The sequence below is a fragment of the Homo sapiens genome, chromosome 2, assembly GCF_000001405.40.
Source record: "Homo sapiens chromosome 2, GRCh38.p14 Primary Assembly".
NCBI lineage: Eukaryota > Metazoa > Chordata > Mammalia > Primates > Hominidae > Homo > Homo sapiens.
Genome location: NC_000002.12, coordinates 196,265,312 through 196,292,868, shown reverse-complemented (window position 1 = coordinate 196,292,868; position 27,557 = coordinate 196,265,312). Strand labels below are relative to the sequence as shown.

Below are 27,557 nucleotides of genomic sequence, written 5' to 3'. Positions count from 1 at the left end.
AAAGCTTATATATGCATTTCATTACTTATTGGAAGATTAGCCATACCCATGTGTAGTATTTCTGGTGCTTCTGCATGTCACAAGTGGGTTAACATTGGTTCTCCATTCTTTTCTTTAGAGTGCCTACCGCATGTTTACAAACAACACGTGTTTGAAGCACATGATCACCAAAGTCCGGAGGGACACCCACCACTTTGAACGCTACCAGCATAACCGCGACCTTGTGGGATTCCTCAACATGTTCGCGAACAAACAGCTAGAGCTGCCGCGGGGATGGGAAATGAAACATGATCACCAGGGCAAGGTAACACGAGGGAGATGCCTCAGGGAGTGCCAAATGCCTGTGGGCTGCTTGTGGCTTCGACACTTGGCCCTACCCTTCAAGTGAGGGCCAAGGCTCTTTGTGAGGTGAAACATTCCACCTTCTGTTCAAGTGAAACCTGGACAGCAGGTTGTTTGTGACCACAAACAGTGACTGTGCCATTCTGAAGTCGTGGAGGGAGCGGAGGGAGGGCTGTGACGCTGGCAAAGCATTCACTTCTCCCTGGAAACTCTCCTACCTGTCATCTCTCTCTATGCTCTGCTGATTAGAGAAAAGGGTTCTCAGGCAGTGCTTCCTTATCCCTAGTGATACAGCTTGTGTTGTAGGTATTTGAATAAAAAGTTGTGGTATTATTTGGAGAAGGTGGCTAGGAGGTCACTAAGCAAGCAACTACATGAGGTGTGTCTTTGTGACACTGTCTGGGCTTGGGCTTCAGTCTTACTGGTTCAGAACTGTGATTTTGTTAGCACATTAACCAAAACTCACTGATTGATTAATTTATGACAAGAAATATGTAACTGTGCAACACAGGCCAGAATAGCTACATCCGTACTTCCTCTGTAGGTGGATGAACCAGAAAGCCTGGTTACAATCAGGAAGTCATTCTATGAGTAAGAAATCAGAATGAGAAAATTAGTGCTTGTTATAAGGTGACCCTCAGCTAAGATTTAATTTTTATTTAACTCTTATGTAGTACCTACTATGAGCCATGAACTGTTTAAGCTCTTAAGGTCCTCACCACAACTTTGATAAAGCAGTACTATTATTATTGCCATGTACAGATAAGCAGCTCCATGTGCAGAATGGTTCAGTGACTTGCCTGACATCACAGAGACAGGCAGTGGCTGAGCCACGCTGTAGGCCAGCCAGGCTGGTTCCAGGAACCATGCTCTTAACCATGACATTATGCTCTGCAAGTATTGAGTAACCAACCTCAGTTTCTCTGTCTATAAAAAGTCTGGGAATATGTGACTTGAAGGGTAGGGAAAATTAAAATGACATATTTAAAGTATTTAACAACCCTTGGAGTGTTTGTTCAACAAATATTTGTTGAGCGCCTAAGCAAAACAGGTAAGCCAACTACTTTGTAGAACTGTCATTCTCATGAATGCAGCATTCATGTCTCAGAGACAGGCAATAGACAAATAAATAAACATACTATTCTTTGTAGGCCAAGAGCTGATTAATGCTATGATGAAAAATAACGCAACAAATGAGGTCTAGTGAAAGACAGGAATGGAGAATGTTATTTCATAGAGGGTGGTTGGGGAGGATGTCACAGATAAGGCCATAGGTGAGCAGATACCTGAAAGAAGTAAGGAGTAAAGTATATCAACATTCAAGGCAAATGGAACACGTAAAGTACTCAGTAAATGCCATTTACCCCCCAAAGTTCCCTCTAGCAGAGGGAACTTTACCACAATAGCCTCTTACTTATCCTGAACTCAGCTTCCAGCAATATTACCTGAGAATCTATGAGTAGTCAAAATGGTTGTTACAAAATGCATGTATTTTAATGCATGGGAGAAGCCCTTAAACTCTCATTGAAACTACTGACTTGATTTCTGCAAGTGTTTTTAATAAACCTCTAATTCCCAGCCAAGAGAAGATTAGAAGTGGCAAGCATGAAGTTTAGGAGAGATGAAAGAGAATTGGGCTTGTGATTATGTCCCTGGACCACAGGTAAAATGACACTGAATTAGAGTCAGATGGGCGTGACAGAGAAGCCTTTCCAGAACACTGAGCTGGAAGCAGGGACACCAGGGGAAGATATGGCTTTGCTGGTACTATATTTGGTTCAACAGCCTGAGAGCCCAGTGCCTGTAAATATTCCATTGGATGGAAGGGCACAGATGGTCCAAGTAAGGACTTTGAAAAATACTGGTAGTATTATACCTGGGTATAAAAGAGTAGTAGCCCACCAAGAGTTCATCTGTTTTCAGCTCTGACAAGATTTTACCTGGAATCATGAATGAGGAGCTGTGTTCATTAGAGAATCAGAGGTCCAGGGAAAACCCAAGTTAAGATAATGGATAATGCTGCATCTGTTTCTGCTCTGTGTTGAGATTTAACTTGTTAAGGCAGGGGTTGGTCCCTTCTTGCCAGTCATAACTTGCCAGACACACTTTAGGAGAGAGGTTCTTTTACTAACCCCTGAACCTTGAAAAAAGTTTCAATTACATATAGGATACTATTGAAGAAGAGTTGTAATGTATTCTTAAGAACAAGTTCTGTCTCATAGCTTTTATAAAAGTTTTGGTGGTTAAACAGGAGTAAACATTATCTCAACCATGTTCATAACATGACTATACAAAACATCCTATTTTCTGGGGATGTTTTTACTAATCTGGGTCTTACAACTTGAAGTTGGCATTGTAGAGAACCCTGAGTGTAGGCTGGTAGAGAGCTGACCTCACAATCTGCTGCTGGCTTTTACATTAGAATCCTGTTTGGGGTGAAAGATTTGAAGGACCCCTGCCTTGTGGACAAGACAGATTAACAGGCAGACCCAAAAGCTTATCACTTTAGCCTGATCTCTCTCTGTCATGCATTAAGACTTTAATAAGATTTTTAGCTAAGCTGGACACCTTAACTAAAGCAGATTTATCTCCATGCGATTCTCCCATGTAAGTTTCTTTCCAAGTGACCAGCTTCCAGTAGATTAAAATAACTTAAAGGAGCATTCAGGGAGGCTGGTGCTCGGTCTCTGTTTGGCTACTCTGCTTTGGGCTGCATGTTAGGAGTCCTGTCTCCTGTCTTATGAATAGGCAGCTAATAGGTTTTCTGTCAACCCTGGAATTTTAGCCCCTTTTAATTGAATTTAATAATATTTATTTTAAGAGACAGGATCTTGCTATGTTGCCCAGGCTGGAGTACAGTGGCTGTTCACAGATATGATCCCACTACTGATCAGCATGGGAGTTTCAACCTGTGCCATTTCTAACCTGGGCTGGTTCCTCCTACCTTAGGCAACCTGGTGATCTCCAACTCCTCGGAGTTCACCATATTGTTGGGGAACTTAGTGTGGACACCTGATTGGCATAGCACACTGTAGTCCAGAACTCCTGGGCTCAAGCAGTCCTCCCACTTCAGCCTCCCAAGTAGCTGGAACTATAGGCACGTGCCACCCTGCCTGCCTTGACCCTTTTAAAAATGAGTTGCTGTGCTTCTAGAACATTTGAAGGGAGAAAACATTTTTCGTGTAATGCAACATCAAAGCTATTAACTATTATGAAGTTATTTTCCCACAGTGATGACTGATTTCTAGAGTTGATATGAAACAGGATGTCCATATCCTCATCTGCATGAAAGGAAATGGTTCTTAACAGAAATGTTCTCAGGCTAAAATTTGCCTCCATCTCCTCTTCTCTAGTGTAACATCTTCCTTTCGTGTTTTCACTTATTTAGTCATTCAGCAACACTTCTGAGGTGTGTACCATTGTGCTAACAATGATAAAAATTTACCACTTAGTGTAGTATTCTGGAGTATGTAGCATTGCCCCTGGGCCAGACACTAGTTCATTTAGTGCTCACAGCAGCCTGGAGATGGGTGCTATTTTTATCCACATTATATAGAAGAGGAAACTGAGGCACAGCATGATTACGTGAATTGACCAAGGTCCCACAATTCGTAAGTGGTGGAATTGGATTTGCACCCAGGCAGTCCAGCTCCAGAGTCTGTGCTCTTCTCCTGCCTCTCACCAGTAAGGAGGGTGAAGGGATATCTTCAGCAATTATCATGAAGATAGCAAGGGCTTGGCAGGATGCTGTGGGAGCCTCCTGATAATTTATAAGGTAGGTATTATTATCATTCATAATTTACTGAAATTTAGAGGTAGAAGTAGGGATCTATATAGAATAGTAACCAAAAAATCTCATCAGTTTGGCATTTCATGAAAATAATACAGATTTGTTAATTGATGAATCTTTACTCTTATAGGAAATGCATGATGACTTATAAGGGATATACTGTAGGATTCATGTCAGCATCCTATTCCTCCTCTTAAGGAACGGCTGGTCTCCCTTAACCATGGTGGTCTGAGAGAATGGCATTTTCACAGCAGGGTTTCTTTTTGGTGTTACAGTTCTTTGCTGTCCATGTTGTTCTTGATCACTGCAGGGTAGTCTGACCTGGGCTGTTTGCTCCTGCCTTACACCTGTATAATGACATGGAATGTTCTCTGTTTCTGTATGATGCATGCTCTGATACTGTGGTGTCTGAGTGGATTTGTTCTCTTGCTGTATCAGTGGAATTCTGCTCTGGTGGTTGTATTCTCCGTCAGCCATGATCATGAAACTAGGGTTTTAGAAACATCCTTGAAAGCCAAGTAATTTAGAACTGGAACTGAAATCAGATCGACACATTGGCACAAAATCATGTACTTCCTGGGTAAAGCCACTAACCATCCCTTTCCTAGACATTGCTCTTTTACCCTAAATGCCTCTTCTTTGAATTATAAAAGAATGCGTGCCTGTACACATATGTAACAAACCTGCACGTTGTGCACATGTACCCTAAAACTTAAAGTATAATAAAAAAAAAAGATAAAAAAAAAAAAGGATGTGTGCCTTAGCACTGGTATGTGCTATGCAAGGGTCCACTGTAGAATGACTTATTTATGGCATGAGATACCTGGAAAGTTTTCATAGTAACAGCAGTGTTTGAGGTGAGCCTTAAATGATGGGTTGAAGTTTGGTTAAAAGAGATTTTGGAGGAGAGAGAAAATAGGAATGGGGTGGGGAAAACACCCAAAGGAAAGGCACAGAGACAGGAAAGCACCAGGTGGGTATTTCTGGTTCCTGTGAAGAAATAATGAGTGAATTTCAAGAGACACATATGAATTACATGAAATCAGTGGATGCTGTACTGCAGAGAGTCAAACTGAGAGAATGCTACAAGATGACTTGGATAATGAGAAAACAAAACCGTGAAAGTTGTTATTTCTCAAGTTTACATAATGGGATTATTTGATTTAATTTTTAGAAAAAAAAGTCTCTTTTTTTAAAATTTCCTTTAAGATGTTAAATACGGACTATTTCCCCCTGCCTCTTTGCTTTAGACTCTCAAACAATATTAACCCAGGGTTTTTTCCCCCAGATTATTCTCTTTGGGCCTAAATCAAGATGCGAAGAAACTTTGAACTTTATAAGTGACATATCATAAATGTCATGAGATTTTAAAAAATAAAAATATACAATGGGAACCATCTTCTTATTTAAAGTGAAATATCTTTCCCATAGTTTGTTGTGTTTTTCCTTACAGAAATCATGTGTTACAATATCTCCCAGCTAAATTGGCTTCCATTGCTATGTCCAAGCTTTGTAACTCTAGAGGTTTTGACTTTGGGTGTCAGATTGGGAGTTTAAGTATCAGAATGGTCCAAATACTCATCTTTGAGAACCACAGCAAATAGCAGTTATGGTTATGAGGACAGATTTTAGAACAGAACAAATATTTGTAGGGTAGAAAGTACCACAGGCTGAGCCTATTTGAGAATTCTCATTTTACCAGACCCTAATAGCCTGTGTGGCTACAGTTGTTTCAGTAATGACCCAGACCCTGGTTTCAATCTTGCATGAAACTGATGGCAACTATTTACTGGGTCAAGTCCTATTTATCTCAGTGAGTAAAGTGCAACTTAATATTTGGAGGCCACAACTTATTATAATTTCAAAAGTCTCTTAGCAAGATAAGTGCTACATTTTGAAAAATATGTTGTCTACTTGACCACCACATTTGTTACTTTTGTGACACATTTTTAATTGCTTAGAAACAACTGATACCTCTTGTGGTGGGTATCTGGTTTAATTACCTTAAGTTATGCAGCAATCTAGCTGTTGATGGAATTAAACTATAAAATGATAGATAGCACATGGTTTTTAAGGACTTCTTGTCTATTTTAAAAGGTAAAAATATGTTAGAAAGAATTAATGCGTAAGTGTACATAGAAGGCAGATGGCAAAAATAAACTGTCTAGGGGTTGTGTACCTTTTTGAATGAGAAAATAGAGCAGAGATCGGTTTTATGAATAAATTTCTGAGTAAAACAGTAGACTCATGGAATCTTGAAGGAATTGCCTAAGTACAGAGATGGTCTTTGCCTTTTCTTTTTTAACAGTTGTCTTTATGACCTGCATGGATTTAAATATATATATATATGACCTCCATCTTAAAATATATATATATGAATATATGATTTCAACATTTCATGGTAATGCACTTCTACTCCACCTAAAATGTGGTAATTTGGATAACTTTATTCCCACTCTTCCACAGCTGTAAGTTGGGAAATGTTGAACAATCAGCTCTCTGTGGCAGGTGGAGAGGAGGGCTGATTTGTAGCACTTGCCAGTTTTGATGGTGTAAATTCTCCCAACATGGTCAATTACATGCTGTCAGCATCACATCAACCTGCTCACAGAATTCCTTAAAATTACAGTCCGCTCTCACAAGCTGGTACAAGCCATCTCCAACATAACACTGGCTCCCCTCTTACAGGTTGAACGCCTAAATACTGTCACTCCCAACATATAAAATACCACTCCCTTAGCTAACATTTTACATCAAAGTGTTGTACTTATATTGTGCTTGTCCACATCTACTAACCGACTGTTTTTGGGACTCTGGCCCAAGTACCACAAATCCCTGTTTCCTCTCCTAGCACCTTTAGAGCTGCAGTCATAGCAGTTAAACGTAATACTTTTCTATAAGCTTTTTTGTGACTGATACAGATGTCATGAAATAATTGGGACTACTGATTCCTTCAAAAGAACCAAGTTAGCATGACGATTTTTTTACTGAGGATAAACTGTATCATTCAGCCCTTTTCATCTCCACTATTTGTGACAAAGAGTCTGTCTAAGACATAAAGAAAATAATAGCATGTTTATTCCTTATAACTGGGGGAATCTTGGGGGAAGGAGCCAGGAGCTGAGAAGAGAGTTATAATTTGGAAGGAAGAGAATGGGTAAGTAAATACAATCTTTAAAAAATGAAAGTAGATTACAATGAGCCTTTTTTTGAGCACTTCCAAGACTTTGTAGGCTAAGACACCAGAATTTACAGCAGATACAATACATAGTGCTTCTGGCTTATCAATTATTGTCCTTTCACTGTTTACATAACTCTTTACAGAAAGAAAAATGGAAGATCGGATGTTCTGTCTTTCTGTAGCGTTCTGTAGCATAGTTACAAGCACTTTTTGTTTTATTTTGTTTATATAGCCTTTTAATATGTATTCCTTAGTGGCAAAATAGTAACTGGAAACGATTTCAAACTTCTTTAACTTAGATTTGTTGAGCCTGAGGTTGGTATTTCTTCATAAATAGTGATGGCTTTTTCTTTTCTTAAAATAATAGAAGTTTTTTTAAAAAAAGAAAAAAGAAAGAATTGTGTAAAGAAAGAAATGTATTTTGTTTGGCTTCACTAAAATACCACTTGGCTCCAACTAGCCCATATTTCCTGACTCTGACTATGCCCTGAAGCAGTGAAAGGGTAGATGTTTTTAAAAATGAGATTCGAGTTTGTGTATTTGCATTCCTTTCAGTTTTTGAGTTGTTAGTTGGCCCAGCACTGTAAAGCTTGAGTGAATTTCCTTAATGAAACTTAGCATTAGGGAATCAATATTGTTCAAAATTTGCTTTGCTAGTAGCCAATGTGAAAAGGATCTATTTTTCCATATTTTTCTTTTTTCATGCCTGCATTCTCGACATACTCTACTCTAGACAGCATTTATTAATATGTGATAGATACTTACATAAATAATTGCAGGCTATTCAAAAACTGTGACATAAAGTGATCCAAATGTACTAGGTCAGCTTCATTGCTGGCTTGAACTAGGTAGCATTTCCTGTGGGAAAGTGATCCATTTTCCTGACATAATTGATATGTGTGTCACAAATAGAAATGGCATGCTTGGACTTTGCATGCTCTTCTCTTCATTTTAAAGTAGAATCTATTTTTCACAATTCAGCTGTGACCTGAGTAATTTCCTTTATGTGAATAAAGCAAAGCACTAAGGAAACCTGTCCAAGGTCACACAGTGGGCCCAGAGCAGAGCCAAAACTCACACCAAGGGATTGCTCCTTAGAAGTGCTATATTCAGTCAGTGCCCTAGCTGTGTGGCTTTGATGGAGGTCTTAATTGAGACTTTTCCCCTAAGTACTTGGCAGATGTAAAAAACATGTGTAAACAATATACACATTCCATTTGACTCTGAAATAGAGCCCCTTGTGGGATACAAATAGGACCTATTCTCCACCCATGGCCATCCTTCCAACAGATTAGCGATGAGAATTGGACGCAGTATGTAGAGCATGCTGTCTGGGATCAGTAGCAGTCTTTCCACTTGAAACTTTGCAGTGTTGAAACTGGTGAGGCCAAGCACTGTGAGTGGCTGTTACCGTCAGCCTCATTCAATACATAATGAAATGTTTTCCTAAAATAAAGTATGATATAAGGTGTGAGGGGAGTGGGAAGAACATAAAAAGGAAAAGATGGTAGGCAGAAAGCAGAATGGAAAAAAGGAGATGATGTATGAAAAGCAGAGAGGTGGGGAAAAAGATATTGCTCATTGGGCTTTGGGGTCAGACAGAAACATGGGTTCAAATCCCAGCTTGGTAAGTTCCAACTGTACATTTCACTTAAATTGGGAATTGTATTCTGGCTGTATTAAAGGTGAATGATAGATATATCATTATTCACCAAATAGGGAAAATCCCTACATATAATGGTGGTTTCTGATTTTACTTTTAGAGAGACTGTCTTTCCTCTGCAGTGTGGAAACTTCACTGTTTCCAGTGGGATTTGATTTGACTGTATTGTAGTGGAAAACCCATATACGTTTTAACATACAAGACTGTATTCTCACCAGGCATGGTGGCTTACGCCTGTAATTCCGACACTTTGAGAGGCCAAAGCAGGTGGATCACCTGAGGTCAGGAGTTCAACACCAGCCTGGCCAACGTGATGAAACCCCGTCTCTATTAAAAATACAAAAAATTAGGTGTGGTAGCGTGGTGGTGCGTGCCTGTAATTCCAGCTACTTGGGAGGTGGAGGCAGGAGAGTCACTTGAACCTGGGAGGCAGAGGTTGCAGGGAGCCAAGATTGTGCCACTGCACTCCAGCCTGGGCAACAGAGCAAGACTCCATCTCAAAAAAAAAAAAAAAAGTGTATTCTCTCACATAAAGAAGTTGAGAGGTAGGCAGTCTAGGGTTGACCAGGGAGTTCATCATGTTGCAAGAGCCCCCATCTCCTTCCAACTTTTTTTTTTTTTTTTTTTTTTTGAGATGGAGTCTTGCTCTGTCACCCAGGCTGGAGTGCAGTGGTGTGATCTCTGCTGACTGCAACCTCTGCCTCCCGGGTTCACGCCATTCTCCTACCTCAGCCTCCCGAGTAGCTGGGACTACAGGTGCCTGCCACCACGCCCAGCTAACTTTTTGTATATTTTTAGTAGAGACGAGGTTTCATCATGTTAGCCAGGACGGTCTCCCTCTCCTGACCTCATGATCCGCCTGCCTTGGCCTCCCAAAGTGCTGGGATTACAGGTGTGAGCCACCACACCTAGCCGCTCCTTCCAACTTTTTGCTCAGCCATCCTTCATTTTGTAAACCAAAAATAAAATTCTAAACCCCTCAACCGTCTGAATGGACCCCTCCTCTCAGCCAAGGACATTCCAAAGTTAACCTAAAAAAGCTAGTTCAGGCCATGATGGAAAGTGGGGGGTTGGATATGCCTTGCAGCTGACCAGCATTAACACCAACACAGAGACCTTAAGACTGATAGAACAGAGCCTTTGAGTCTGATAAGAAATATTTACAGTCTATTCTCTCTGAAGCCTGCTACCTGGAGGCTTCATCTGCATGATAAAACCTTGGTCTCCACAATCGTTATCATAACCCAGACATTCCTTTCTATTGATTCCAGATCTTTAGATAATAACCAATTGCCAAACAGAAAATCTTTGAATCTCCCTATGACCTAGAACCGCCCCCACCCCTGCTTCCAGTTGTCTCGCCTTTCCAGACTGAACTAACATATATCTTGCATGTGTTTTTGGTGTCTTAGCCCTCTCTAAAATGTATAAAACCAAGTCCACCTTGGGTAGACATTCTCAGGATCTCTTGAGGGCTGTGTCACAAGCCATTGGCCACTCATGCTTGGCTCAGAATAAATCTCTTCAAATATTTTACAGAGTTTGACTCTTTTCCTCAACAATCACCATGGTTCAGTATGGCTACTGGAGCTCCACTATTAAATTTGTGTTTCAGAGGGTAGGATGGGTGAAGGACAGAACGAAGGATCATCTGTCCCTTATCAGATTTCCCAGAAGTACTATGTTTTACATCTTACTGGTCAGAACTTAGTCTCGGCCACACATACTTACAAGGAGCCTGTTAACAAACACAGTTTTCACTGGTCCTCCTTTTTTTGAGCCTTGTGTATGGGCTTTAGCAAGAAACACTGTGATCCTTAGGAAACTGTTTCAGAAAAGAAAACTATTATTTGTGAAAATAATAGGACCTCATATTTGACGTGTCACAGGCAGCATGCTCAAAAATTCATATGAACTATCTCAGTTAACCTTCCTTTAATGTAGTTATGATCCCCATTTAACAGGAAAAGAAACTGAGGTTTAAAAATTTTAACTAATTTGCCCAAGGTGACATTGCTAGTGAGTAGCAAACTAGAGCTCAGAACCAGGCTTGTCTTTTTCCAAATTCAAAGCATTTAATCATTATGTTGCCTCCCACTTCTCAATTTTTAAACTGGTACATTTACAATGGGATTTTTAAAATCTTCTGTTTGTGGTTTTAGGGTCTTTAGCTTCCCTCATTTTTTTCCCCCAAATCTTAAGTATTTCGGTAAAAGAACACGCTTTTTTTTTTTTTTTTTTTTTTTTTTGAGACGGGGTCTCACTCTGTCACCTACCCAGGCTGGAGTGCAGTGGTGCAATCTTGGCTCACTGCAATCACCACCTCCCAGGCTCAAATGATCCTCTCACTTCAGCCTCCCAAGTAGCTGGGACTACAGGTGTCTGCCACCACATGCCCGGATAATTTTTGAATATTTTGTAGAGACAGGGTTTTGCCATGTTGCCCAGGCTGGCCTTGAACTTCTGAGCTCAAGCGATCCACCTACCTCAGCCTTCCAAAGTGCTGGGATTACAGGTGTGAGCCATCGCGCCTGGCCCAAGAACATGCTTTTTAGCACTTGGTTAGTTAATTGTTAGTTGTCTCCTTGTATTTTGGTTGGAAATTCAAGTTTTTGCCAATTTGTTTTTATCTGAGCACCCTTTCTCCCAGGCACAGCCCTAAAAGCTATTGGGGATAACAGAGTGACTAAGATACAGTCACTACTGCAAGGCTTTTGCAGTATAGTTCTTTTGAGAATGGATTTTAGACAAGCCTCTTAACATCACATTAGGCTATGACACTACATACAAATCATAGTTGACCTACATGTAGACACCCATTTGTCTTTATAATTACAAGTGCATCATTGTACCGTTAATGACCACCCATCCCTTCAAAACATTCCTAAGAAATTAGGTAAATAGGCCATTCTAATTTATGCTCTTTGTATTTTTCCCTTAAACAAGATGGTTAATAGGATTGTGTTAGTAATAAAAGCTTGTTACTCTCCATTTACATACAGAGGATATGGGTTTGGTTCTAATATGTATTATTTAAAAATAGGTATTAGCCACATCCATTGGTGCAAAATAGTTTAATTGCTATTTTATGACATTTTGAGTAGTGGCAGAAATAGTGGACAATTGTATTAGAAGCACAAACCAAATGGGACCAATGTGACATTTGGGGTCAGAACCTGTCAATGCAAGTCCACACAGGTTTTATCACTGGAGTACTTTTTACAAGACCTGAGAAGAAGGATGTTTCACTCAAGGTTAGTGAAGAGGAAACATTACCCAGGATGTGAGGCTGATGACAAAATCTCACACAAAACCTTTATTTTTTTGTACCCAGAATTGGATAGTAAGAGAAAGGACTGGGAAAGATTCCTGTTCTGTCCATTTTTCTGCTTTGTTTTCTGGTACATCCATTGCTTAAAGTTATTTCTTTATAAAGATGTAAAAATGTTTTCTATATGGGACCTGCCCCATTTCTTGATGATGTACATAGAGTTCCATATGAAACATTCTGTTCCATAATGGGAAAATAGGTTTCTAAATAGGCATAAATATACTATCTGCCTCTGGCATTTGCCTAGATACCTTCATCTCTAGGTGTTAAGGTACTTTGTTAACTGAGCTCCATTGGTTTGAAAGGTCAGTTCTTTTTTGCCTGTTATTTGGCATACATCATGTGCCTTGATACTTGGTTTATAGGTACTGAGTCTCCTGGCTCTCCTAATAGCCTCTTTCATCTTTGATGACCTAATTAACTATCTGATCATGGAAAACTTACAATTTCTAATTGTACTTAAGATAATGGGTTTCATTATTACCTTGAGTCAATTTTACTTTGAAAACTTACAACATTGGGCCCCTAAGGATAATGATAGATAGCACTTGTATAGTTTTAGAATTAAACAAACAGACCAAAAAATGCTTTGCTACATTGTAGTCCATCTTACTGCAATGCTGAGGTAAATGGTTTATGCTCATTCATGATTTCATGTTATCAGAGATTCTGCAGTGATCATGACAGACATGGCTTCCATTCTTCTAACACATTATGGGGGAGAAATGTCAGGAATGAAGGAGACATGTTTTTGTAAGAAACATATAGCTCAGAGAACTTAAGTGACTTACCCAAAGTTCTAGACGGTATGTGATGAGTTTGTATGGGTGTGTAATGGGCGACTAAACTGGAAAGGCATGTAGGCAGACTGTTAAAGAGTAATGAAAAACTGACCAAAGAGTGGGAATGTCTTTTCTGTGGACAATGGATAGCCATGAGAAGCTTTGTATTGGGGTGGTGATGTAATTGAAGTGTTTAGAAAGAATATTCTTATAGTAACGGGCCAGTTAAATGACTATGGTGATAGAGATGTGGAGCAGCTGAGAAGCCACCAGCACTTACACACATAAAATAAAGTCCCAAAATAATGGGGTGGTGTTCAGGCTGGGAGGGGACAAATAGAGGACACTACAGTGAGAAAATGAGAAGGATTTTGTGGCTTACTGTATAGGAGAAGGAAGAAAGAAGAGAAGTCAATGATGTTTAAAAGTTTCGGCCAGGCGCGGTGGCTCACGCCTGTAATCCCAGCACTTTGGGAGGCCAAGGCAGGCAGATCACGAGGTCAGGAGATTGAGACTATCCTGGCTAACACAGTGAAACCCCGTCTCTACTAAATACACAAAAAATTAGCCGGGCGTGGTGGTGGGCGCCTGTAGTCCCAGCTACTCGGGAGGCTGAGGCAGGAGAATGGCATGAACCTGGGAGGTGGAGCTTGCAGTGAGCTGAGATCGCGCCACTGCACTCCAGCCTGGGTGACAGAGCGAGACTCCGTCTCAAAAAAAAAAATTTTTTTTTTTAAGTTTCAAGGTGGTAAGAACTTTATAATAACCACATATGACAGTAAGAGCTCAAAGACCATCAGTTAAGAGAAGCCTAAATGTCCATTCTTCTGGCTTCCTTCTTGGATCATGTCTTTGGTGACTATCTCGTGGAGCATTTCCTAAAACCAGGCATAATGTTCCTTCCTGCTCTCTTCGTTCTGGATCTCATCTAAGCTTGGCTTTCTCTAATCTGATCTGTCCTGTGTGGGTAAGGAGAAATTTCCCCAAAGATTGAAAATTATGAGAAAATAGAGCTAAGATTGTGACTCAGAAGTGAGTCTTTTCCTGACCGTCTGATGTTATAAGTCAGCTAAGACATGTGAGCGGCATGTATTTGACTCAGTGTATTGTATCCTAGGCATTCTTTGTGGACCACAACTCCCGCACCACCACTTTCATTGATCCCCGGCTCCCACTTCAGAGCAGTAGACCCACAAGTGCGCTGGTTCATCGGCAACACCTGACAAGGCAACGCAGCCACAGTGCGGGTGAGGTGAGTCATGCGTTTTGGGGACTGACCTGTTGGTTGATAGAAGCTTCTAGTATGTGATGGTTTGAGGAATTTGACTGATTTTTTTAAAGCATTTTTTCTTTTTTTTTTTTTTGAGTTTGATTTAGAGGCTGAAAAGCTTTCGAATGTTGACAGGGCTTCTCTGGAAATACATACAGCCTAAATCACAAATTTAAAAAGGTAGGATATATGAGGCAAAACTGACGAAATTTAAGATTTTTTGACTCAGAGGAAGGTGAGAGGGTGTTGATAATGTACTAAAATGTTCGAGACAGGAAGATGATAAGCCCATTTGCACACCCATTTTCAGCCTCACAGGAAGAAATGAATATAACTTGGTTAAATGTGGAATTTCTTTATATATATATATATATATTTTTTAATTATACTTTAAGTTCTAGGGTACACGTGCACAATGTGCAGGTTTGTTACATTTGTATACATGTGCCATGTTGGTGTGCTGCACCCATTAACTCATCATTTACATTAGGTATATCTCCTAATGCTATCCCTCCCCCCTCCCCCCACCCCATAACAGGCCCCGGTGTGTGATGTTCCCCTTCCTGTGTCCAAGTGTTCTCACTGTTCAATTCCCACCTATGAGTGAGAATATGCGGTGTTTGGTTTTTTGTTCTTGTGATAGTTTGCTGAGAATGATGGTTTCCAGCTTCACCCATGTCCCTACAAAGGACATGAACTCATCATTTTTTATGGCTGCGTAGTATTCCATGGTGTATATATGTGCCACGTTTTCTTAATCCAGTCTATCATTGTTGGACATTTGGATTGGTTCCAAGTCTTTGCTATTGTGAGTAGTGCCACAGTAAACATACGTGTGCATGTGTCTTTATAGCAGCATGATTTATAGTCCTTTGGGTATATACCCAGTAATGGGATGGCTGGGTCAAATGGTATTTCTAGTTCTAGATCCCTGAGGAATCGCCACACTGTCTTCCACAATAGTTGAGCTAATTTACAGTCCCACCAACAGTGTAAAAGTGTTCCTATTTCTCCACATCCTCTCCAGCACCTATTGTCTCCTGACTTTTTAATGATTGCCATTCTAACTGGTATGAGATGATAGAATTTCTTAAGTGAAGTTTTCTATATTACATTAAAATATCCATCCAGGGATATGGGATTATGGAATCCTCACTAGTATTCTTTAAAATTAGGATATTTTTGAGAGAGTTGATTTATATACTTTATGTGCCTGGAGAAAAAGGGCTGAACTAAGAATTACTAAAAACTGCTCTACTTTACCGATTTGCAGGGACCAATGGTAACCACACGAGGGCCCTCTAATATCCTAACCAAAAAAAAGAACAAACCTTGTTTCAGTTCTTCCTTTTGCAGCTTCAATATATAAAAGAAATGTCTTAAGTCAAGTTTTCTTCTCCTTCATATGGGCTTATGATTTGATTATATACCATCACTTGATTTACATTGTTTCTGAAAATTCCCTTAGACAATAGAATTTGGATCCTTTACCCACCTTTACATGCCTTTTCTGTGTCTATGTGCATGTCATATTTTCAGTATTATATTGTACATCAAATATCTTTGTAGCCATATATTTTGTATAAGAAAAAATATGAATACAATAAATAACTGGATCTGATTCATCAAAATTCTACTCTTGGAATTTCCCCTCGTGATTTATATACTTGCTCCAATGCATCATGTGTTTGCTGGTTGTAAGTGCAGATATAGAAGGGTGCACATGAGAAGCTCATATAAAAATGATATACAAATATATTACAGGATGAGGTATGTGCAAAAATTTTTCTGTTTTATGAGTAGCTAATAAATCTTTACCTTGCTGTCATGTAACCCATTAGTGGTGAACTGAATGGCACTAACAACATTCATCTTAAAAGCAGAACAGACCTCTCACCTTTGGACCTTGTGTGCGATGTGTAGCACAATTAGGGCTCTGTCTGATATTTTATTGCATAGCCCGTGCCCTTTAACCACTCACCTTATCATGACTTCACAGTATGAAGCTGGCTGTTTGGTCTAGTTAGGACTATTTTTCTGGGAAAACATGCATGAGATTAATAGCTATACTTTCATTTTCTTTCAACCCCTCTACCTTAAAACATGAATATTTTCATGGTCTAGTAGTAGTAGCCTTTATGAGAGAGGGACCCTAAGGGATACATTAAGACTTTTCCTCCTATGGCTGGAAACTGAGCAGTGGCCCAGAGATAAGTCCATACAGACTGAGTGTCCAGCCCTCCACATTGTTAAACCTTCCGGGGGAGTGTCCTTTCTGACACAGCTGTTGGAAGCATGCACATCCTGAAGTGCTGCCCATCAGAGGGATTGCCCACTGTCCGCTGGTCTGGTTGCAAAGACTGAGGTCTTAGGGAGAAGACCTTTGGCTTTTCTGGGAAATGATGAGACATGGCAACATACTGTGAGGAGAGAAAGTATATATTGGAGTGTTGAAATGATAAGTTATCTGACTAACAATCTGTACTTAGTGATCAGATCTCCCCAGAGAATAGCTGTATTCATTCCTCAAAGCCAGTAACTCAAGAGAAGCAGGATGAGAAGACTTCTAGTTACATACATGAGTCATTTGAGCCACTGTCTTATATTCCTTCAGCAAATATTCCATTCAGTAGAAATATTGATGTCTTTTCCATCTAACAAGTTAACACCAAACACCTGCTACAATGAAGAAACATAGTGGTTGCTGTTATGAGGGATGCAAATAAATAACACATTTCCTGCATTCTTTTTTTTTTTTTAAGACAGAGTCTTGCTTTGTCGCCAGGCAGGAGTGCAGTGGTGCGATCTTTGCTCACTGCAACCACCACCTCCCGGGTTCAAGAGATTCTCCTGCCTCAGCCTCCCGAGTAGCTGGGACTACAGGCACCTGCCACCGCGCCCGGCTAATTTTTGTATTTTTAGTAGAGATGGGGTTTCACCATGTTGGCCAGGATGGTCTCGATCTGTTGACCTTGTAATCCGCCCGCCTTGGCCACCCAAAGTGCTGGGATTATAGGTGTGAGCCACCGTGCCTGGCCCACACATTTCCCGCATTCTTAATAGGAAAGGAAAATATGAAACCCTACTACAAATGAATAAAAATATGAACGAAAAATGCTTTGTAAATTTTCTTTTTTAATAGTTGGGAAAGAAAAATATACCTTTAGATAATCATGTTTTCTTCTTTTTATTTATATCTTTCCAGCTTTAGTGAGGTATAATTGACAAATAATATAAACTGTTCACAATGGCAGCTGCTTGTTCTGTTTGTTCTGTGGGAGCTCAGAGGAGGTTGTATTTAACTTGGGCTTGAAGGAGAGGGAAGACCTTGTCGAGGAGGGGCTGTTTGAACTACGCTTTGAAGAATGAGTGAGAGCATTCTTGAAGGACAAGCAAGCGGTGGAGGGTGGGGAGGATATTTCCAGCATTAGAGTCTTTAGAAAAATCCTCAGCAAATACCCAAGTGATGCAACATGATAAAAGGGCTGCAAATGGTTGTGGGTGGAATAAAACTCTCTTTTCAAAATCCCAGTTTATAAATCCAGTACAGTGTGTTATTTTTTCTTATTCTCTCTTATACTGCTGTTCTGCTATTGTCTCAAAAGATTTCTGTAATATGGGGGAAAATGCTAAAGCAGAAGCAAAAACAACATTAGAGTTTTCTGGTAAGGCTGTTAATGGGTATTTTTGGTTATCTACTTGTGTGTATGAGTTTCTAAATCTATATTAGGTGCAATAAATAATTCTGGTTAGGACAACCCTATTTAGCTCCTCCACACCTGCTCCTATTAGCACCCTGGTGTGGGAGGCTCAAACCAGAAAGATCTGTTGTACCAGGTGTTCTAATAGGCATGGAGAATTGCTCCTGAGGAGATAATACACTAACTCGAAACCCCACATGAAGATTGCTGCTCTTCAACCCCTCCTCTGCTGAGCCAGGGAATTCCCTGGCCTGCCTTAGCCAAAAGAAGAAATATCTTGGCACTGCCCCAAAACATTTATACCACTCAGTCTTCCCTTTGATTGTGTTGTTGCAGACTGTGCTCTGTCAATGCAGAAGTTAGTCCTGATGAACAAGTCTGCTGTTTAGCTGCTGCAGCCTCAGTAATTATAAGCAGATTGAACTACTTCTGTGCCACTTGGTAAAGAGTCACTGCCCCAGCCCCTCTCAAGAATGTGGATGCCTCAACTCCCCCCACCATTTAGCCACTAAAACAAGGCTTTCAATAACTAAGAACCCTGCTTCAGCCCCACAGCTGGTATCTGTTCTGATCAAGTGGTACTTCACTATGCTCATTGTTAATATTTTGAACAACTTGGTTTGGGATGCTGATATAGAGCATTCTGGCTCTTGGTGCAGAACATAAATGATGCTTCTGTTTGCAGGTAGGAGAAGATTCTCGACATGCAGGACCACCAGTTCTTCCCAGGCCATCCAGTACATTCAATACAGTCAGTAGGCCACAGTACCAGGACATGGTTCCAGTGGGTATGTCATCCCTTTCCAGAAATCATCTGTCCTTTTGTGCCATTATCTGTACCATGTACACTGTGCTGATACTTCCCCTGTTGTTAGCCTGCTACTTTTTGCCCTATATTGAGAAATTGCTGCATTATCCTTAAGAAATGTATAACAAAATCCTACAGACTTGAGTCTCAAAGGGCTTCTGTCTTGTAATATCCTAAAGGATGAGATTGTTTTTTAATACCACCCTACCTTTCCTGAGTAGAGGTATCATATTAGATTATTGAAGTTAAGGAAAAATAATTTATTAAGGTAATACATTATGCAATCATTATAAATTAAGAATTTGGACTAGCATATACTTAGTATATATTTAAGGCCAAGACAGAATTTAAATGGTGTGTGAATCTGTAGCAGCCTCACAAAATAAACAATCAAAGAGAGCACATTCTTAAGGGCTTTTGTCACAAATAGAAGGCAGCAAGAACCTCTAAAATAGTAAAATAAAAATAAATGAGTGTGGGAGAAAGGCCTGAAAAACAACTTGAGTTGTTATTAAAAGGATGAGGTTGAAGTAGATCAGTGGTTGCCAAACCTGGAGCGCCTGAGGCAGGTGGAGTGGACAGACTGGTGGGAGGCCATATGGGCTCCGTGCTCCGTCTTAAATTAGACTAGGTTGGCTGGGCGCAGTGGCTCACGCCTGTAACCCCAGCACTTTGGGAGGCCGAGATGGGCAGATCACAAGGTCGACAGATCAAGACCATCCTGGCTAACACGGTGAAACCCCGTCTCTACTAAAAATACAAAAAATTAGCCAGGCATGGTGGCACGCACCTGTAGGCCCAGTTACTCTGGAGGCTGAGACAGGAGAATCACTTGAACCTGGGAGGCAGAGGTTCCAGTGAGCCGAGATTGCACCACTGCACTCCAGCCTAGGGACAGAGCAAGACCCAATCTCAAAAAAAAAAAAAAAAAAAAAAAAAAAAAAAAAAAAATTAGACCAGCTCTCCATTTATCTTTGTTTTAAAACGTCTTCTTTAAATTAAAAAAAAAATGTCATGAAATTCAATGTAATGCCCATGACCTAAGAAGCTTGACCTCTGGATAAGAAGAAATGTAGGGTTGAAGTCTAACAGTCTAGGTTTTTTTTTATGTTATTACTAATATGACACTAAATACTGCACATGGAATTTTAAAGCACTATAAAATTGTTGCTTAGACAGTTATGTGGGCTCTGAGCTCAGACGCACTATAAACCCCGATTCAATAATTATCCAAGTGTCTTCATTATTCATATATAGTGAAACGTGCACTTAGGGAACATTTGAGTTGACAATGGTATTCCATTTTAGCAGGTAGTATTTCTTTAAAATTGTTATTGTATATATAAATATACATAACTAAAATAGATATGTTATAGGCAATATGATGCAGGTAAGATTGGAAATGGCAGATCTCTACAGAATTATTATACTTCTTTTGTTTAATTATTTGTTAAAGAAAGGCATGTATCTTGATAATATCCTATACCAGAATCTCTGATGTTTAAGAATTTAGACACTCTGTCCTAGTTCTGTGAATTTAAATATATTTGTGCCTATTTATGATTATCAACAAATATAATCAAGATGAATCATCTTAAGTAAACAAATTCATTTTCTTGACAAAAGAGTATTAACGGTATCCTTAATAAATTTTAATTAACTATTTTTAAGTTTCTTTAGCCAACCTTGACTGGGATTTAGATTTTTCTAAACACATTTTGTTCATGGTTCGTGATGATGATTGTGTTGTAGCTGTTGGTATAGTTGGTTTGGTAAAGAGCTATTTGTGGCTTAATGGCATTTATTTCCACGTAGAGTTTTAGAATAGTTTGTCCTCTGCATTTTGGTCCTAGTTGTTGCTGCCAACTAGTACATTTTGGCAAATTGAGTTCTGCCTCTTTACCTCCCTGGCTGGCTGCTAATCAATCAGAAGATGGTTTTTCATTTCTGACTTGTCATTTCTGTGAGGCTGATTTTCGTAAGTTTAAATGATCAAGATCTAGAATCTCGTTGGTGACCTCATCTTGCCATTTGATAATAAATATGGCTTGTCAAATGAGTTTACTAAGAATGTTTAACTAAGCCACAGCTAACAGACCTAAGTCCAATAATCATATAAAAGGTTAGATACAAATTGGAATGTAAGCACCTATAGTGGTGGGCACAGTCTAGTTCCAAACTATAACTTTGAGTATAAGTAATATTAGCCAGAAAAACAGATTTCATTTATTTATTTTTTGTTGTTGTTGTTGTTTTTCAATAGAAACAAGTTCTCACTATGTTGCCCAGGCTGGTCTTAATCTCCTGAGCTCAAGTGATCCTCCCAACTCAGACTCTGAAAGTGCTGGGGTTACAGGCGTGAGCTACCATGCCTGGCTGAAAAACAGATGATTTTGAAAAGTTTGGATTTATAGGCCGGGCACAGTGGCTTACACCTGTAATCCTAGCACTTTGGGAGGCCAAGGCAGGTGGATCAACTGAGGTCAGGAGTTTGAGATCAGCCTGGCCAACATGGCAAAACCCCATCCCTACTAAAAATACAAAAAAAAATTAGCTGAGCATGGTGGCAGGCACCTATAATCCCAGCTACTTGCAAGCCTGAGGCAGGAAAATTGCTTGAACCCGGTGGGGCACACAGGTTTGGATTTATATACATAAAACTAAAAATAGATTCTTTTTTAAATTGTTGTCTTTTCTGATTTTTTTTTCAGCTTACAATGACAAGATTGTTGCATTTCTACGTCAACCCAATATCTTTGAAATTCTACAGGAGCGTCAACCTGATCTTACCAGGAATCACTCACTCAGGTAACAATAATATTGGTATTTGGTTCAAGTTGCATAAGCACAAACCATTAAATCTTAGTTTTACTGATAGTTGTCTTGGAAATTTATTCTTTCTTTCTGACATCCTTTGCAAAACATCTTGTATGCAAATATTTTGTCATCATCACCAGGTATTGTAGTGCTGGCTTCTCTCTATTAAGTATAAAAGTTGAATAAAATCGGCCGGGCACGGCGACTCACGCCTGTAATCTCAGCACTTGGGGAGGCCGAGGCAGGCAGATCACGAGGTCAAGAGATCAAGACCATCCTGCCCAACATGGTGAAACCCCGTCTCTACTAAAAATACAAAAACTAGCTGAGCATGGTGGTGTGTGCCTGTAGCTACTCGGGAGGCTAAGGCAGGAGAATCGCTTGAACCTGGGAGGTGGAGGTTGCAGTGAGCTGAGATTTGCACCACTGCACTCCAGCCTGGCGACAGAGTGAGACTTTGTCTCAAAAAAAAAATAAATAAAGGTGAATAAAATCAACTAAACAACCCAGAACCCTATTTAAAAAACGAAATATGAAAAAAAAATTTAAGCCAAGCGTTTATCCTAGAAGTGCAGATTATAATGAAATTAATGACATAACTTTTTGAGTGTAACTTGAGTAAGCAAAAGTAGCATACAGTTTATTGAACTGAGATATATAGAGTTCCAGACTTGGTATTCACATTTTTCCATAATAAAAACAGATTAGAACCTAAGTAGGGAATCTGATATTCTCTAAAACTGAGCCTCACCTTGCATGAGCCCTCTCTTCTAAACAACTTTTCAAAACATCATTTCTCAAGCCCAGTTTTACTTTCCTGAATACATGCTGTTCCCCTTCCCTGGCAAGCTTTTCTCTCCTTCTAAGTTTGGGAAGCAAGATTTTTCCACTAAAACCCAGCAGAAGCTTTCCCTCCTTGAAATCTTTCAACTCCACTGTGGACTCTCACTTTCATGATCTAGGCTAGTATTTCTCTATCTAAGTGTGCTAGGCATCAGTGGGAATAGGAAAAGAAGAGTTTCTGCTGAAAATCTTTCTTAACCCCAAGTCCAGTTGTCACCTTTACTGGTAGAAGTATATTTGCCTGGTGGTACCATCCTGGCCCACAGCAGTGATTCCCAAATACTGATCCACTAAGTTGTGCCAAACTGTTTTCATCAGTATCACCTGGGAAGCTTTATATAATACAAAATGCCAGGTCATGCCTCCTCCAATTCCTCTCCCTTCTCAGAATTTATACCCCTGTTCTCCCATGCCCTACCCAGAAATTTAATTCAAGAGGTCTGGGGTAGAGCCTAAGAATTATTTTTTCAAAACCTCTCTGTATAATTCTGATGGCACAGTTGGCTGCAATAACCTTTGGTCTTGACACTATTTTGATCATGAGTCATGAAATGTATCACATTGTCCTTTGTACTGGTTTGACTTTATGACTTTTGTGTTTTGATTTGACTTTTCAAGTCCTTATGCGTTATTTTCCAATTAGATTTTAAGAGCCTTGCAAATAGGGATCTTATCCAACTCATCATTATTTTTCCTCCTTACTGTTCAAATATCTAGAATAGCATTTTGCACATACTGAATGTAAAAATATATATGTATATAGTTGTCGATTTGAAAATAAATTACCAAATATACTCACGATATTCTTGGTCTCATGTCTTTTTTTTTTTTTTTTTTTTTTTTTGGAGGTAGGGGGAGACGGAGTCCCACTCTTGTCGCCCAGGCTGGAGTGCAGTGGTGCGATCTCGGTTCACTGCAACCTCTGCCTTCCGGGTTCAAGCGATTCTCCTGCTTCAGCCTCCCGAGTAGCTGGGATGACAGGTGCCCACCGCAACACCCAGCTAATTTTTGTATTTTTAGTAGAGACGGGATTTCACCATGTTAGTCAGGCTGGTATTGAATGCCTGACCTCAGGTGATCCTCCCGCCTCGGCCTCCCGAAGTGCTGGGATTACAGGCATGAGTCACTGTGCCTGACCTTGGTCTCATGTCTTTAAAGTTGTCATTACCTTCTAAAGTTTGTAAAGGCTAAAGCTACAAAAAATTTCAAGTATTATACTATAAACACTGTGTATATAAAAATCCCAGTTTCACCTGGTTTCACATGGTTAATAACATTTGACTCAACTCTTAGTGCCTTCCCCAACATAAGCATGCTGTTCTTAACCACGGAAAAATTATAATAATTATGCAAGTGAAGATTTTGCATGTTTGTTTATTATGGCATCCACTCAGTAATCCACGTTCCCCTAGAGAATCTTGTGTAAGAAGTTTTAGTTCTAAAAAATTGCAGAAACAAGCCCCTCAGTGATCTAATTAGAAATGTTAGCAATCCTAGACCTCAAAGCAAAACAAACAAAATTCTTCCTCTTTTGCTAATCACAAAATAAAGGGAACTCTATTTTCTCTCTCTTCTACCACTTCCAACCAACACATGCCACTAGTTAATATCTGTTCCTCTAAGTGTACCCCATCCCCCACAAAACAGGAAACTCAAGAAGTTTTTCACTTTTTCTCTGCGTTCCACATTAGTGTGTAATACGAATTAACATATCTTTAAATCTCCACCATCAGAGAGATTAGGTGATCTAATCTACCTGGACAGGGCATTTGTCATTAGTCTTTAATGACTTGACAGAATCTTAACAGATCCTAACAGAGGGAAAAGCTGCAGGCCCAAGTTGGTAGCTTCAAGTTTTGTTTTGTTTTCTTTCTGCTTTTTAGAGTCTGAAAAGTCTCTAATCTCCTAAAGATGTTGAAGATTTTTTTTTAGTGGCATCTAGAGTCCTCAGTTAAGCATAATCTTTCTTCTAACATAGGATTCACATGGTAATCTATTTTTATGCAATTATTTGATAGGCTATGAAATATATTTCCATCTTTACAGAATGTGACCATGGGAAGCAGATGCTGTCATGATAAGTAAAAGTAAATCAATGAGATAATACCACTCCTCCTATCCAGAGTGTGTGTCACACTGCACTTTCATTTTCTGTCAAGTTTTTGGGAGTTAAATATTTTGCTTATCATAACATCGTAAAGGGGAAGTTTGTATATCTAAGAGAACATTCTGTTTTATATAGTTGTGAGGAGCATTCCCACAAACACAGGGGTGGGAAATAGGCTGAACTTCTTTAATTTCCTATTTCAATGATATTTTTGATAACAGATTTATACATGGAATGGAGCCACTCAGTAATCTATGTGTCAAAGTTCACTGTGGACCTTATATTCATACCTGGAGCAAGGACTCCCAGTACCAACATAGCTTGGCATATGTCCTTTCTCATCTGTGGCACACCACTTAAGATAAATATTCCTTCTTATTTTTCCCATAATATAATGATAAAAGTGGTAGCCCTTGAGAGATTGAAGTAGGTATACCTCTTTACTTTGTGTTTTCTTGGTTTGCTTGTGATTCATCCTAAGCCAGAGGATAGCAGGCAATTCATTTAGTTTGCATCTATGTATAGTTTTCTCTTCCCTGAGACTTCACTGGTGTGTCTTCCTGTCTATGTGGCTATGGTTTTCCATGCATTGTGATATGGCTTTTACTTTCAACTGCTGTATTTAAATCACTGCTCCCTATAAATTCATTTATCACGCAAATGTGAATGGTACTAAGTTGCTGTCCTTTTTTTTTTTAAACAAACCTCAGGAGATGTTTATTTCCCCTGTTAGAAAAATCAGCTTCCAAACGTCAGTACCACATCTGTAAAATGGGTAGTGTCCCCATGGCATTATTATATGCTACTACTGGTTCTCACTGAAAGAAGATGTTTGTATGCTATGACACTAAAATAAAAGCTGAAAAAAAGTTCTAACATTTTATACGAATACAAATATATTCATTAGAAAACAACCTTTAACAGTATTTTATAGGTGAATGTAATGCACATTTAAAAATTCAATAAAATTTTTAGTATTGGTGTTTGTATAGCACTATGTAATGAGAAAGGCCATGAACCTGAGTTAAGAGTTGAGAATTTCCCCTCTAATATGATTATTAAGTCCAGCCAGTAAATCTGTTCCCTACTAGTCCAGCTCTCCCCAGGCACCAGTGATTATTTTTGGCAGCAGGCTGTTTCCTCCTTGAGTGCTTCCTATATAACTCCCCTCACCATGAGGACATGATCTGTGATAATTTTTTCATTCTGGGTAGATTAGATCATTCCATATTTTATGTTATCAGGAAATCAGTAACTTGGGAGTCAAGAAATTCTGAACCACAAAAGGCAAATGGATATGTGTCTCAGGATTCACCAGACTAGAGGCAAATGCAGACTTGAACCTTCTATTTCCTTTCATTATCCTATTTGAAGAGCCCTGGGGTTTTGTTAGAGTTTAATTTTACTCTTAATTTTTTTATTTTAAAAATAATGGCCCATTTTGAAGTTTATCAAACAATACAGAATTTTAGTTAATAAAAAGTTAAAGTTTCAAAAGCTATCTTTCTTAAGATAAACCCTAGTGTTCAAAATTGCTAACCTATTTCTTTTCTAGCTTTGTGGCAAATGAATTTTTCTGCATATAATATTAGACTGGAAATGTTAGTCTTGGTTAACAACTGAAGTACTTGGTGAAAATAGCATGAATTTACTTCTGATGATCCATATGCATTTTCCTGTTAAGACCTGCCTAGCTCTCTCCCTTAGTCCTCTCCTGATTTGTTTACTTATCACTCAGATGTCTGGACCAACATGGCAAACTTCTGATCTTTGCTGTACCAAACTTAAATAATAGCAAATCTGGACTGAGACTATTATTTTCCTACAGACAGTTTACATAGGGATAATTATTGAATTTTTAAAGACACCTTTTTTTTTTTCTTTTGAGGCAGGGGGTCTCACTCTGTTGCCCAGGCTGCAGTGTAGTGTCGCGATCACAGCTGACTGCAGCATCAACCTCCTGGGCTCAAGCCATCCTCCTGCCTCAGCCTTCCAAGTAGCTGGGACTACAGGAGCACACCACCTTGCCCCGCTAATTGTTTTGTGTTTTTTTTTTTTTTTTTTTAATAGAGATGGAGTCTTGCTATGTTGTACAGGTTCATTTTGAATACCTGGGCTTAAGAGATCCTCCTGCTTCAGCCTCCCAAAGTGCTGGGATAACAGGCATGAGCCACTGTGCCTGGACACCTGATTAAAATAATTTATTGACACCACATAGTAATGGTCATTGGGAAGTCCTAATAGTAGACTCTGTCTCACTGGGAGAGCAGCAGTAATGGCTCTTAGAAGGTAGTTGAGTATAGCTCTTAAGATTTTGTTCAGGTTTGGAGCCAGAAAGGCCTAGGTTTGAATTCTGGCTCTGCAATTTACCCACCAGGTGACTTCGAATGAGACATTAAACAACCTCCAAGTTGTCATCCTCGTCTGTAAAATGGGGATCGGAATTTCTAACTTCCAGCATCTTTTTGAAGATTAAATGAAATAATATATGTATAAACCATTTGATACTGTGTAAGCATAGTAAGCATATAGTAAATTTAAATCAATATTATATTAGTAGTGTGCCCTTCACTTCTTTGTTCTATCAGAAGGACTCAGTTTAAAGTAATTTGCCCCTAAACTTACTCTAATTCTAAAAACCACTATTCCTGAAATTAATCATGCATATAAATGGACCAGTGTGATTCTGTGGATATAATTTAAATGCAACTAGGATCTAGGATCTCTTTTCCTTTTGGGGGTGGGGAGCGGACAGAGTCTCACTCTGTCACCCAGGCTGGAGTGCAGTGGGCACAATCTCGGCTCACTGCAACCTCTGCCTCCCGGGTTCAAGCAATTCTTGTACCTCAGCCTCCTGAGTAGCCAGAACTACAGCAATGCACTACCATGCCCGGCTAATTTTTGTATTTTCAGTAGAGATGG

The 27,557-nt window shown here is 39.5% G+C and overlaps 1 protein-coding gene and 1 pseudogene across 12 annotated transcripts in view; one reads left to right on the top strand and one right to left on the bottom strand.

The window, feature by feature from the left end:
• The window catches only part of HECW2 (HECT, C2 and WW domain containing E3 ubiquitin protein ligase 2), a 399,483-nt gene that overhangs the window by 300,686 nt on the left and 71,240 nt on the right, over positions 1-27,557 (top strand). For all 12 annotated transcript variants that reach the window (NM_001348768.2, XM_006712646.4, XM_047445197.1 and 9 more), the window contains 4 exons: positions 119-304; positions 14,207-14,341; positions 18,746-18,848; positions 21,580-21,676. In NM_001348768.2, coding sequence (NP_001335697.1) covers positions 119-304; positions 14,207-14,341; positions 18,746-18,848; positions 21,580-21,676 — 521 coding nt within the window. The remainder of the gene's footprint in view (positions 1-118; positions 305-14,206; positions 14,342-18,745; positions 18,849-21,579; positions 21,677-27,557) is intronic.
• Positions 3,162-3,460, bottom strand: RN7SL820P (RNA, 7SL, cytoplasmic 820, pseudogene; annotated as a pseudogene).